Below are 14,187 nucleotides of genomic sequence, written 5' to 3'. Positions count from 1 at the left end.
CCAGTAATTCCTTAATTTCTTGAACTTGGTGGTAGCATTCAGTTCATGAAAATTTATTGTATGGTACACTTATGGTCTGTGAACATTTTTCTGTATTTGTTTCCATTCCATAAATAGATTCATTTTTAAAAATGCTTAGTGAGTACCTATGATGCACTAGACATGGTGCAGATATCGGGAACATGGTATAAACTAGAAGACCATGGGCCCTGCTCTCATGAAACTGAGTCAAATAAGGAATTAAATGAGCTATTTTTTAATTTGTATAAAAACAAAAATTGTGTACAAATAAGAGCCCATCTTGAAGCTTAAAAATAAGTGTATAAAAATAGTCACATTTGGTGACTATTCCTTCATTTTGGTGTTTGTAAGGCATTCTGTATGTTCACTTTTTCTGACACTGCATTTACCATTTCCTCCTCATCTTTTGACAAGGGTAGAAATATTCTCTACCCTGCTTGAGGCTCACTTCTTCCACCTATCCTCTGAGCCCTATCATCTTACATGTATTTATCTCTATTAACACATGATATTGTTATTTTTCATTTACATGAATGTCTCCTCCACTAGACTGTGAAGTTCTTGAGGTCACACAAGTACTATCACTATTCTTTAATTCTCATGCCTAGCAGAGTGCTTGAGCTATATATAGTAGGTACTTTATAAATACTAGTGGGATGGAAGAAAGGAAGGCTACAGATATACAACTTCTATGTAGGATACTTACATTCTTTCATTTTTCTTATGACATATCTTAAAAATATATTTGAACAATAATCGTTTAGTCAGTTCCTGGTACATAAATTTATTGAAGATGAGAATCTTCAATGTGGTGACATAAAGAGTCCCTTTCTCATAATTTCATTTTTCTAAATTATTTTTATTTTTCCATAAGTTATTGGGGTACAGGTGGTATTTGGTTACATGATTAAGTTCTTTAGTGGTGATTTGTGAGATTTTGGTGCACCCATCACTGAGCATCACACATTGTACCCTATTTGTAGTCTTTTATCCCTCACCCCCTTCCCACCTCTCCCCTCAAGTCCCCAAAGTCCATCGTATCATTCTCATGCCTTTGTGTCCTCATAGCTTAGCTCCCACATATCAGTGAGAACATACGATGTTTGGTTTTTCATTCCTCAATTACTTCACTTAGAATAATAATCTTCAGTCTCATTCAGGTTGCTGCAAATGCCATTAATTCATTCCTTTTTATGGCTGAGTTGTATTCCATCATATGTATATGTATATCACAGTTTATTCACTTGTTGATTGATGGGCATTTTGGTTGGTTCCACAATTTTGCAATTGTGAATTGTGCTGTTACAAACGTGTATGCAAGTATCTTTTTCAAATAATGACTTCTTTTTCTCTGGGTAGATACCCAGTAGTGGGATTGCTGGATCAAATGGTAGTTCTACTTTTAGTTCTTTAAGGAATCTCCACACTGTTTTCCATAGTGGCTGTACTAGTTTACATTCCCACCAGCAGTGTAAAAGTGTTCCTGTTCACCACATCCATGCCAATATCTACTGTTATTTCATTTTTTGATTATGGTCATTCCTGCAAGAGTAAGGTGGTATCACATGGTGGTTTTGATTTGCATTTCCCTGATCATTAGTGATGTTGAGCAATTTTTTAGATGTTTGTTGGCCATTTGTACATCTTCTTTTGAGCATTGTCTATTCATGTCCTTAGCCCACTTTTTGATGGGATTGTTTGTTTTTTTTTCTTACTGATTTGTTTAAATTTGTTGTAGATTCTAGATATTAGTCCTTTGTCAGATGTATAGATTGTGAAGATTTTCTCCCACTCTGTGGGTTGTCTGTTTACTCTACTTACTATTCCTTTTGTTGTGCAAAACTCTTTAGTTTAATTAAGTCCCAGCTATTTATCTTTGTTTTATTGCATTTACTTTTGTGTTCTAGTTCATGAAATCCTTGCCTAAGCCAATGTCTAGAAGGATTTTTCCAATGTTATCTTCTAGAATTTTTATAGCTTCAGGTCTTAGATTTGAGTCCTTAATCCATCTTAAGTTCATTTTTGTATAAGGTGAGAGTTGAGTATTCAGTTTCATTCTCATACATGTGGCTAGCTAATTATCCCAGCACCATTTGTTGAAAACGGTGTCCTTTCCCCTACTTTATGTTTGTGTTTGCTTGTTGAATATCAATTGGATGTAAGTATCTGGGTTTATTTCTGGGTTCTCTATGCTGTTCCATTGGCCTATTGCCTATTTTTATACCAGTACCATGTTGTTTTGGTGACAATGACTTTATAGTATAGTTTGAAATCAGGTAGTACGATGCCTCCAGATTTGTTATTTTTGCTTAGTCTTGCTTTGGCTATGTGGGCTCTTTTTTGTTTCCATATGAAGTTTAGAATTGTTTTTTTCTAATTCTGTGAAGAATGATGGTGGTATCTTGATGGGGATTGTGTTGAATTTGTACATTGCTTTTGGCAGTATGTTCATATACACAATATCGATTCTATCCATCCATTAGCATGGGATGTCTTTCCATTTGTTTGTGTTGTCTATGACTTCTTTCAGCAGTGTTTTGTAGTTTTCCTTGTAGAGGCCTTTCACTTCCTTGGTTAGGTATATTCCTAAGTATTTTATTTTTTTACAACTATTGTAAAAGGGGTTGAGTTCTTGATTTGATTCTCCACTTGGTCACTGTTGGTTTATAGAAGAGCTACTGATTTCTGTACATTAATCCTGTATCCAGAAATTTTGCTGAATTCTTTTGTCCATTCTAGGAGCTCTCTGGAGGAGTCTTTAGGGTTTTCAAGGTAAACGATCATATTGTCAGCAAACAGTGACAGTTTGACTTCCTCTTTACCAATTTGGATGCCTTTTATTTCTTTCTCTTGTCTGATTGCTCTGGCTAGGACTTCCAGTACTATGCTGAAGAGGAGTGGTAAGAGTGGCTATCCTTGTCTTATTTCGGTTCTCAGAGGGAATGCTTTCAACTTTTCACCATTCAGTATTATGTTGACTGTGGGTGTGTCTTAGATGGGTTTTATTATATAGAGGTATGTTCCTTGTATGCCAATTTTGCTGAGAGTTAATCATAAAGGTATGCCACATTTTGTTGAATGCTTTTTCTGCATCTATTGAGATGATCATGTGATTTTTGTTTTAAATTCTGTTTATGTGGTGTATCACATTTATCGACTTGCATGTGTTAAACCATCCCTGCATCCCTGGTATGAAACCCATTTGATCATGTTGGATTATCTTTTTGATTTCAACACTTCCAAACATGTGATAGATGAGTTGTCTCAGTCACCATGCAGCAGTCCAAATTGTAAATTGTTTACCCACTAATATCATCAAACTACTAAATATATCTAAAGTAAGTACTTTATAGCCCTCAAAATGTTTGTATTAATCCATTTTCACACTGCTGATAAAGACATACCCAAGACTGGGAAATTTACAAAAGTAAGAGGTTTAATGGACTTACAGTTCCACGTGGCTAGGGAAGCCTCACAGTCATGGCAGAAAGCAAAAGAAGCAAGTCACGTCTTACACGGATGGCAGTAGGCAAAATGAGAGCGCTCGTGCAGGGAAACTCCTGTTTATAAGACCATCAGACCTTGTGACACTTATTCACTATCATGAGATCAACACAGGGAAGATTCACCCCCATAATTCAATCACCTCCCACTGGGTTTCTCCCATGACACATGGAACTGGGGGAGTTACAACTCAAGGTGAGATTTGGGTGGGGACACAGCCAAACTATATCAATGTTCTGTTTTATAGTCAATATATCTTTGCTATAAATTCCCCAATGTGAGTTTTTATAGCAAAATAAATCAGTGACATGACAAAAAGGAGTAAATTAGTGAGTTGGTAATTAAAAACAGCATCATCTGTAACCTAGCAATCCAGCATCCCTGGAGTTAGACAAAGGCATCCAATAGCCTTGGTTTTGAGACACTTTGGAGTGTCTTCCACATTAACTTTCCTTGCCCTCAGCCTGAATGGGCCCTCAGCAGTCAATAGTTAAGACCCCATCTTGTGGCCACCATTGATTGGACAGGGCTGGACACTGGACACAAGCTAAACTAATCAGAGACTCTTCTCTGAGAACTTGAAATTAGGATCAAGAATTTGGAATCAAGCGATTTCATCTCTCCACTTGACTAGACTTCTAACATGGTGATTTGAGAGCCATGGGGTCCCAGGTTCTGCCATGAGGACTAGGGAGCAGAAAAAAGTGAGTCTACAAACAGTAAGAATGAGACAGAAATACAGAGAGAAACAGAGGCAAGAGATGGGGGATGTGCCCTATGCTCACAATGGCTTTCCCACTTCCAGATACTTCTGAGGCCAGGCAGTGCTTTCTGCCCTGGAGTTCATTGGATACCCATGTTCTCTTATGAAAGGAATCCTTTATGGGTAGCTTAAGCTGGTTTGTTTGTTTGTTTGTTTGTTTTCACTTGCAACCAAGAAATCCTAAGTAATACAAGTTCTCATTCTGTTGTCTCGGAAAGGGGCATTAGTGACTTCTAAACCTTCCATGAAGCTAACCTAGTTTTAACTAATTTTGATTTATATATGTAAAAAGTAACGCATGAACATGGCACAAGTAAAAAAACTGAAAGTAAAAATCTTCCTCTACCCTCAGTCCCTAAGTAACTGTCCTTAATAGTTCTTTATATATCTTTAACAAAATGTTTATATAGATACAGATAGACGTATTGATATTTTATTTTACATAAATGGAATCATTTTACAAATGTTCTGCTGTTTGGTTTTTATACAGTAATATACCTAAGATATGTTCCCATGTCAGAAAATATGTATCTATCTTATTATTTATGAAGGTTGCATAATATTCCATTGTTTGGAAGTACTGTAATTTATTTAATCTCCTAGGACTTAGATTGTTTTCAGTTCTTTAGTATCATGCTGCAATGTCTTGCCCATGTATCTTTGAGTGCTTTTGTGAGTCTATTTGCAGTAAAAACCCCTAAATTGTAATTGCTAGCACCCATGATTTGTGCATTTTAAATTCAATAAATATTGTTTAACTGACTCCTTCCATGAGTCTAACTCTGAAGAAAGGAGCATTAAAACCTCCTGTAAGTAGAACTAGAAAAGGTGTGGGATAGTGAGTCAGATAAAGCACAGAACACTGAAGTATGAAAGGGAATATGGTTTTGTATGACACAGGCCAAAAGATGCTCAATGCTTCCTCATCTGATATGACCAAGACCAACGAGTTCTTAATGGGCCATTTTGAGTCACCACGATATAGATTTATATTCACCCACATCCTGCCTGGTAGGGTGAGACATGACCAGTAAAACCCAGTCCCCCTGTGGTTGAGAATTTATGAACTCAGGAGAACCCTGGAGACGAGAATATTTTTTTCTCAATCTTGCCTCCCTTCCAAAAGTTCTTCTGAACAAAATGAAAAAATGGGATTTCTCCTATCTAAGAGTTTATTTCACACTTTGTGGTTTAGAGAGCAACATGTCACTCCTTATAGGACTCTGGGGTGGCTATGACAATAATACCCATTTTACAGATGATGAAACTAAAGACAAAAAAAAAAGTGACTTTCCCATGGTAATAGAACAAGTAAGTTTTAAAGCTGGATTCAAGCCAAGGACCTCTGGCTAGAAAACAGTCCTTCTTTAAAGCAACGACACTAAGCTGAAATAGCTGATTTTGACCCCTTAAATAAACCGTTTATTTGTAGCTAGTACAAGCCACCTGTTAAGCAATAGTTTTCCAATTGGGTATTTGGGAGCCATGTAAATACAGTTCCTGTGCATCAGCAGGGAGCTGTCAGGGTTTGAACCTTCAAGTTTCCTCTCTCACATTATTGAGTCAAAACCCATCACATGTTAGAAAAGAATCAACTCCACTTAGGAGAGAGCTGACTGAGCACAGGCTCTTAGGAAAGAGATGAGTAAATACTTCCGATAATTAGACAAAAAGTCCTAAATTAGCAAAGCTTTCTGAGAAATTTTGACATGTTAGGAAATCCTCAGAACTATAGAATTGCTTTTCTGCAACCACTTACCTTCCCATTCCCTACTCCCAGCACATAACCATCAAGCAACCAAATGTCCATGAGGTCGGAGTTCTGTTAACAAACCAGCAGCAGTAAATGCTGGCCCATGGGATGCCACTCTCTGTGTCCAGTGGCCTTGGATCTCCACGAGGAAACACAGTTCCCTCAAGTGACAAGAGCTCTGCCTTACAATCATGAGTGTTAAAAATAGATGTGTACATGCAAGAGGAACAACCATGGGAAGTGGTTTTTGGCATTTCCTGTGGTCATATGTGCATCTGTTACCCGCCAACTGATTTCTAGAATGTGATTACAGATAGCTTACAGTAACAATTTTTATACCAAATGCCTAACTAATAAAAACATATGACTCTTCAGAAGTACAAATGCAAGGTATGGTGAGGAATTGAAGAAACAATCAGCATGATTCAGATCCTAAAATAAAATAAATCAGCACAGATTACATGATTCTATATTCCAGGTGTTCTCCTCCCTTCCTTCCACTTTTGATCTACACACTTTCCATCAGTGATCTCATTCAGAACCATGGAATTAAGCATCATCATTACCCTTATAATACCACAACTCCCTCTCCAGCCCTAGATATCTCCATTGAGCTTGAAGCTTGTATAGCCGACTCCACCTTAATATCTTCAAATGATTGTCCAATAAGTATCTCAAACTTGACATAAACAAAACAGAACTTTGTGGGGGTTTCTTCCCCAAAAACCCATTTCTTTCCCATTCTTTCTCAAATAAGTAAATGGTAACATCCTTCACCCCAGTTCACATACACACCTCTAACAATTTTTGTTCATCCCATCTTTTTCCTCATATCCAATCCATCAGCAGGTCAAGCCACATGTCTCCACATCCATGGCTGCTCTTCTAGTCCAAGCTTCCTCCATCTCTTGCCTGGATTACTAAAACAGACCTGCTTTTATTCTTGATTCCTGGCAACCCATTCTCCCCTGCCTAACCCCTCCATCTTCCATCACACTTAAGAAAAAAAATGCCTGGCCAGGCACAGTGGCTCACACCTGTAATCCTAGCACTTTGGGAAGCCAAGGCGGGCAGATCACCAGGTCAGGAGATCAAGACCAACCTGGCCAACATGGTGAAACCCCGTCTCTACTAAAATACAAAAAATTAGCTGGGTGTGGTGGCACGCCTGTAGTCCCAGCTACTCAGGAGGCTGAGGCAGGGGAATTGCTTAAACCTAGGAGGCAGAGGTTGCAGTGAGCCGAGATTGCGCCACTGCACTCCAGCCTGGGCGACACAGCAAGACAGCAAGACTCCGTCTCAAAAAAGAAAAAGAAAAAGTAATGCCTTACTAATACCAGCAATGCCATACAGAATCTAGCCTCTCCTCCTGTCTGAATTACCTCATACCTCATTCCACTCCACAAATACCCAACATGCCTTGTTTCTGCTCCTCAAACATAACAAGCTTGTCCCTTAGGGCATTTGCTTCTTCCTCTCCCTGGAATGCTCTTCGTCCAGATCTTCATATGGCAGGTTTCCTTTGTCATTTGGGCTTCATTTCAACAGTCATCTCGCAGGCCTTCCTTGAGCACCCAAATCTATGTTGTTCCTTCTACCCTTCAGTCACTATCACATATATCATGTTACCAGGTGTTTTTTTCAACATGGCTAAATTATCTTTTCTTCTTCTTAATTTTTGGTTTCCTCCATTAGAATGTAAACTCTTGAAGTCGGGGGCCTTGTCTGCCTAGCTCTTTTTTTTTTTTTTTTTTTTTTGAGACAGAGTCTTGTACTGTCTCCCAGGCTGGAGTGCAATGGCATGATCTCGGCTCACTTCAACCTCCCCCTCCCAGGTTCAAGCAATTCTCCTGCCTTAGCCTCCCGAGTAGCTGGGATTACAGGTGCCCACCACCACGCCCAGCTAATTTTTTGTATTTTTAATAGAGATGGGGTTTCACTATGTTGGCCAGGCTGGTCTCGAACTACTGACCTCGTGATCTGCCTGCCTCGGCCTCCCAAAGTACTGGGATTACAGGCATGAGCCACCGAGCCCAGCCTCGTCTGCCTAGCTCTTGACTGAATTCCTAAAGCCTGTTGAATAAACCCCTGACTGACTTAGTAGATATGGATTGGATAAATCCCTGACTTCATAGATATGGATGAAGCCTGCATGTGACTGTTGACTCAAGTAGAATGAGTCTGCATTACGCCAAATGAGAAAATCGTTGTGTATTTGATCTCTGCCTCATCTGGAAATTTCTTCTAGAGAGAGAAGAGAAGAATTCACCCAGGACTACCAGAGCAGTAACAACTTTTGATAAGCAGGGGCAGTTTTGTCACAGACTTGATCCAACTTGCTTCTTCAGGTTCCCAGATACATGAAGAAACAGAAAGCCCATGACAGATGCATGTTTTCATTTATTCTACAAATATTTATTGAGAGCCTACAAAATCCAAGGATTGTGGTAGGTAGCAAGAATTCAGTGGTAAATGTGACAGAAATAGTCTCTGCTCTTGTTGAATTCAGAGTCTGATGGAGGAGACATATAGTTACAAAGTAACTACACAAATAAATATTTATTTTGTGATGAGATCCAGGGGAAAAGCACAGGATGCTATGACAAAGAGAGAGCAGGAGCAGCTCTTCCTGACCAGGCGCAGTTCTTCAGGAAGAACTGCCATGCTGCATTGGCATTAAGGCAAACTCACAGAAAAGAAGAACCACCACGAGGCCAACCCTTGATCCTGTCTTGTCTCCCTTCGCCTTCCCTCTACTGCCACTCCCTTTACTAGAAAGGTGATTTTCTCTATGCAAGCAGTACAAGGCTGGGTGACCCCACTGCATCTAACAATTGGTCCCATAGGACTTGCCTGCAACAGCATGGGGGAAAGCAGATGACCCACTTGAGCCAGATTCTCTGTGATATGCTCACCTTTGTCCTTCCTCCTACCCGCTAAAAACCAGCAGGTAGCCAAGAACTTATCCCACTCATGAACAATACCGCCATGACTACTAGTACTATTGCTTTATCATCATCCTCTTTGGTTAGCATTGACTTAGATCTTCATTTGTACCACTGAGTTCCCTGTGTCCTAAGCGTTTGCTTTCCTGATCTCCTTCCACGTTCACTCATGTTGTTGTTTCTGCAACTATTCAGGTACAGACGAGAAAACTGATATAACTGTTTACGAACATAGACTATTCACTTACAGATGAGAAAACTGATATGCAGAGAATTAAAGTAATGTGCCAAAGGTCACATGAGAAAGTGATAAACTCAGAGTTAAAACCCAGGTCTGTCAGCCCACTCTCAACCACCATACTATGCCACTTCTCTATGGTAGAAATAAAAAACTGGAAACTTCTCTAGAACAATCTTAGCTCAGGAAGCCGAATTAGGTATATGTTATGATCCTGTGATATGTTACATAACTCGAGATGAAAGAGAAGCCTCATGTATATTCAAGGCTTTGTGGTGCCTGATTTTAGCAGATGTGAACCCTTCAGGGTATCTGTTCGCTAGTTACATTCTGTACTTTCAAGGCACAGTGTTCTTTGAAGATAAGACCTTATTTGTTCTCAGAACATTTATTGGTCAGAAACCATTGTGATCACTTTGCAGATAAGGCAACTGAGGTTTGGGACTGACAAACCAATATGGCCCAAGTCTCCTAAGTTACATCAGAAGCCGATGACAGATTGCAGCCCCCATCTTTCATGCTTTTGGCTGGTCGCCCAACACCTCCAAGCTTCAGCTTCCTCATCTGCAGCATGAGAGACCTAGTCCAGGGCTTCTCTACACACTTCCTTTTCCCCAAATTCACATCACTCAGTGTTGGTTATAGTGGTCACCAGTTAGCTCTGCCTGTCCAACAAATGTACTCTTTTCTTTTGGTGCCCCCTTGTCTATGTGGGAAACCATCCTCTCTTGATAGCCCAAGCACAGCTCCAAGGCCAGGGGAGGGCAGGACCCATTCATTGATACCTGTGCTGCATCCAAAGAAGGAAAGGTCATTTCCCAAAGGAAAATCATGGCTTCACTGACCTAAGCAAGGGGCACAGATGCTCAACGTAAAACCCACCCACGTCCACCACAAGGGACTGCTCTTCAGTGTGCCGGAGAACTTAAACTTTCTCCAAACCTGGATGCAAGAGGCCCTAGGCCTGGGTTCGTTCGGTATGACAAGGGCCCCTTTAAACAGGAAAGCAGGAAGAGCATTCCAGAAGAAGATAGGATAAATGTGGAGTTGAGCAACTTGTGCAAGGTCATTTGAGGCTCTCAGGAGAGAAAGCAGGCCACCTGGCTCTTATTCCAAATTTCCTTCTAACCCCGCTGCTCCTCTGCTCCAAAGTCTGTACCCATAGCTATGTTGTCCCATTATAAAAGGAAGATTTGCTTTTTATTTTTTAAACTTTCCAAATGACAGTTGTTAATAAGAAATATCTTTAATGTTTCCTATTTTATTGAGAAATGAAGAAGAAAAAAAATCTGAATTTAAGGCCATTTAGAAGAGAGGAAGAAAAAATGAAACAAATGTGACACCAATAATAAAGAACACGTGAGATTATGGAAGAAAATAGCAGTGGTATCCCTCTGGACCAGAGGTCTCAAAGGTAGCCTGAGGACTGATTTCGGCCATTGGATATGTTTTATTTAGCCAATACAATGAGTCTTTTTAATGTTGAATTAATTGCCAACATTTAAAAACTGAAATGTTTTATATAAAAAGATTTCAGATGTGAGCGTTTGCTCGAATTAAGGAATAGGCATTCCCTCTGTACAGCATAAGAACTCTGTTCTCTGTGTCTCTCAAAGCATACTCTTCATTGACATTAACTGCTAGTCCCCATAGATGTTTGAATTTCGCAACCTCTGACTTAGATAGTTCTACAGCAGCAGCAGCTGCTGCTGGCAGGAGCTAATGTAACTATTTCCCTGAGCTTTCAGGCTCACCCCAGAACCTGAGCTGCTCCTAAAAATGTTGTAGGAACCTGTACCATTTATCTTGCCATGCTTTGTCAGCTCTGGCTTTGTGGAAGGGAACCTAAATCAATACCCAGTTTAGCTGAAGAAAATGAGACGGTTATAGGTGGGTTTACATCTCACTTAGGCTTCTGATGTCAGAACCGGGAGTTTAACATGAGCGGCTTGAAGGAAGGTGAGTCAGTGAGGTTGAGATGGAATAAAGGAGCTCTGCCAGGCAGGGGGTCCAGCCAACTTCTAGAAACTGCCAAAGCCAGGAAGAGGCAAGGTGGAAGAAAAGGTACTGGTGAAAATATTGAGTCTCATAGAGGAACCAGAGAATAACACCAAAAAACAACAAGATATGTGTCTGAAATGTTTGTACCCAGTCAAGCAAGGGTTTCGCCATTCATTTATGAGTGCATTGAACAATTTAGACAGTTAGTAGGTAAGTTTTAGATCATAGAATTGACTTTATTTTTCAACAAATGATTATTCCTTAATCCATTTATTCATTCAACAAATATGTACTGAACGTGTTCTGTATGTCAGGCACTGTCCCAAGCACTGAATGGCTGTGCATGAGAGACAAGCACATGTTAAATTTTAAATTACTTTATTATGTTTATTTGTTTTAATATATTGGTATAAATTTTGGCCTAAGTCTTCCCTAAATCTCTGTCATATATGACAATAAAGTCCTGGAATAGTAATTTCAGGGGTTGAATCAGGATAGCCTTTGACACAGATAGGAGACTTCCAGCATGGAAGGAAACGGCGCTCAATCAGTAAAAACACTTTAGCACCACCTCATATTTGTTTGTTTATAAATGAGATAATGTATATTATATAATACATTATAAAACATACAAAGGAAATGTTCAATTTGGAAATAATGAAATTTGTTATTTAGTTGTATTTATTATTTTTAAAAATAGAAGTTCTAGTATTTCTCTTCCACTCTGAAACGAATTGTTTTGTGCACTTTCTGAGGTGTGTCACCCCACAGTGGAGACCACTGGATTAGGCTGCCGATTCTAAAATTGTCGTAGGGCTCTATGGTGATCAGATGTTAGCGTCAACAGGAATTTGGACCTTTTTCATTGATCCAATTAAGTGTATGAGCGGTTGCTGGCTCAGGGCCTTCCCAAGGCTGCTAAAGTCCCAGGTGATCTTCTAACCCACGTCCCTCAAAGAGGACAGGGTGATCTCTCCAAAATGGAAACCTGCTTATGGAATGTCACTGCTTGTAGCCCTTGAGAGGTTGGCTTTGCATGTACCATGGAAGCACAGGACCCTCAGGGTGCCCTCCAAGGCCGGTCTCTGCAGCTGTGCTCCCTCAGCCCACCCCCCAATTGATTGCCTCACTCCACTCCAGACCTCCTTTAGGTGTTCAGGGACACACAGGATTTTTAGGGCATTGAAACTACTCTATATGAAACTATAATGGTGCACACATGCCTTTATACATTTGTCCAAACCCACAGAATGAACAACATCAAGAGTGAACTCTGATGTAAACTACGGACTCTGGGTGATAATGATGTGTGAATGCAGGTTCATCTGTTGTAACTAATGTGCCACTTTGGTGGGGGGTGTTGATAATGGAGGAGGCCATGCATGTATGGGACCCAATGGTATATGGGAAATATACCTGTACCTTCCTCTCAATTTTGCTATGAACCTAAAACTGCCCTAGAAAAATAAATTCTTCTAAATAAAGAAAATATTAAATAGTAAAAATAATGTTCAATGATGATAAACAAGCTAAATAAAAATAGTAGGAAAACAGAATACCATAAAATAGTAACACATTAGAAAGATGAGTAGTTAATATTTATATAATGATTACTTTTTGTTAGGCACCATTTCAGAAACTTTACATATATTAACACATTTAATTCTCACAACCACCCTTATAAGTTAGGTTCTATTATTATCCCCATTTTATAGACAAGGAAACTGAGACATGTTGAGTTGATAACATGCCTACTGTCTCACATGTAAGTGACAGAGTCAGAATTCCAGCCCAGGGCCCCTAGCTCCAGCCTCTGAGGTCTTAACCACTGTACTGTACTAGCATGTTTAATAAAATGAAAATATGTTCATATATTGTGACATCTGTTCTTTCAAAGAGCAAATTCACTCTCACCCGTGATCCATAAGGAGCTTAATTCCAAATTTTGATTGTTATGACATTAAGAAAGAGCTGTTAATCTTTGAGGATGAAGAGGTGTCTTGAAAAGGAATGACTGTCCTAACTTTCTGTTACTGATAAAGCTGGTCCCCCCCGCCCCCACCCCAAAAATAGGTCTTTCCCTCTTCAGTGCCAGGAAGCCAATACACAGAACAGAAAGTGAGCATCAAGCAGTACCAGCTTCATTCAATGGCCATGAAATTGAGAACCAGGAGATTGGCTCACAAATCACCTTCTCAGCTTATGAAAACCAGGAAGTCACAGATACAGAATATCTCTAATGACAGGGTCAGGCATTAAAAGCAAAGAGAAGAATATTCACATCTTTTCTGGAAATGGGCAGAAAACTCAGAACCAGAGTTGCCGCCTTCCTTTTTGTCATTTTATGGTTTCTTCTGTCATTGTCATGGTGATTGTCAACTGTCATGGTGCTCGCGGGAATGTCATTTAGCACGGAAATTTGATTATAATGAAGTTCCAGGTTCTTCAGAAGTCAAGTGAGCTGCCATCTTGGATCCAACAAGTCCCAGTCGATTTGGTCACGAGGGGGAGCTTTTGACGTCAGGCCTCCTGTTCCCTAAAGATGAGCAGAGTTAAGGCGGGGTAGAAATTTACCTAGTCACATGGGCATTACATTGGGTAATATTTCTAGTGGTGTAGATTAATGACACCCAAATATTATAACTCTTTATAGAAGAAGATTTGTTTACTCAGAAAATTTGTACTTTATGTCTGTCAGGTATGAGGCACTGCTAGGAATGGGGGGATTCATCAATGATTCAAATAAGCATAGTTCCTGCCCTCAAGAAGCTTATAATTTTGTAGAGGAAATAGACAATAAACACCCAACTCCTCATTAATTACCACTGTGAAAGGAGTTACAGAAGAAACGTCAGAGTACAGTGAGCAGAGAGAGGCCAGCCACACTTGGTCAGTGAGATAAGAATGCCTCTTGCCCTCCACTGGTGAGCATCTCACTGAGTGCAGGGAGGCTGTAGAGATT

General features: G+C 39.8%; 1 long non-coding RNA gene across 1 annotated transcript in view; it reads right to left on the bottom strand.

The window, feature by feature from the left end:
• Window positions 1-13,344: 13,344 nt before the first annotated feature.
• LOC105378209 (uncharacterized) overlaps window positions 13,345-14,187 on the bottom strand; it is a 37,122-nt gene continuing 36,279 nt past the window's right edge. The window contains exon 4 of the long non-coding RNA XR_944375.1: window positions 13,345-13,761. This is a non-coding gene — a long non-coding RNA (uncharacterized LOC105378209). The remainder of the gene's footprint in view (window positions 13,762-14,187) is intronic.

This window comes from Homo sapiens, chromosome 5, assembly GCF_000001405.40.
Source record: "Homo sapiens chromosome 5, GRCh38.p14 Primary Assembly".
NCBI classification, from domain to species: domain Eukaryota; kingdom Metazoa; phylum Chordata; class Mammalia; order Primates; family Hominidae; genus Homo; species Homo sapiens.
This window is presented reverse-complemented; position numbering and strand designations above follow the sequence as displayed.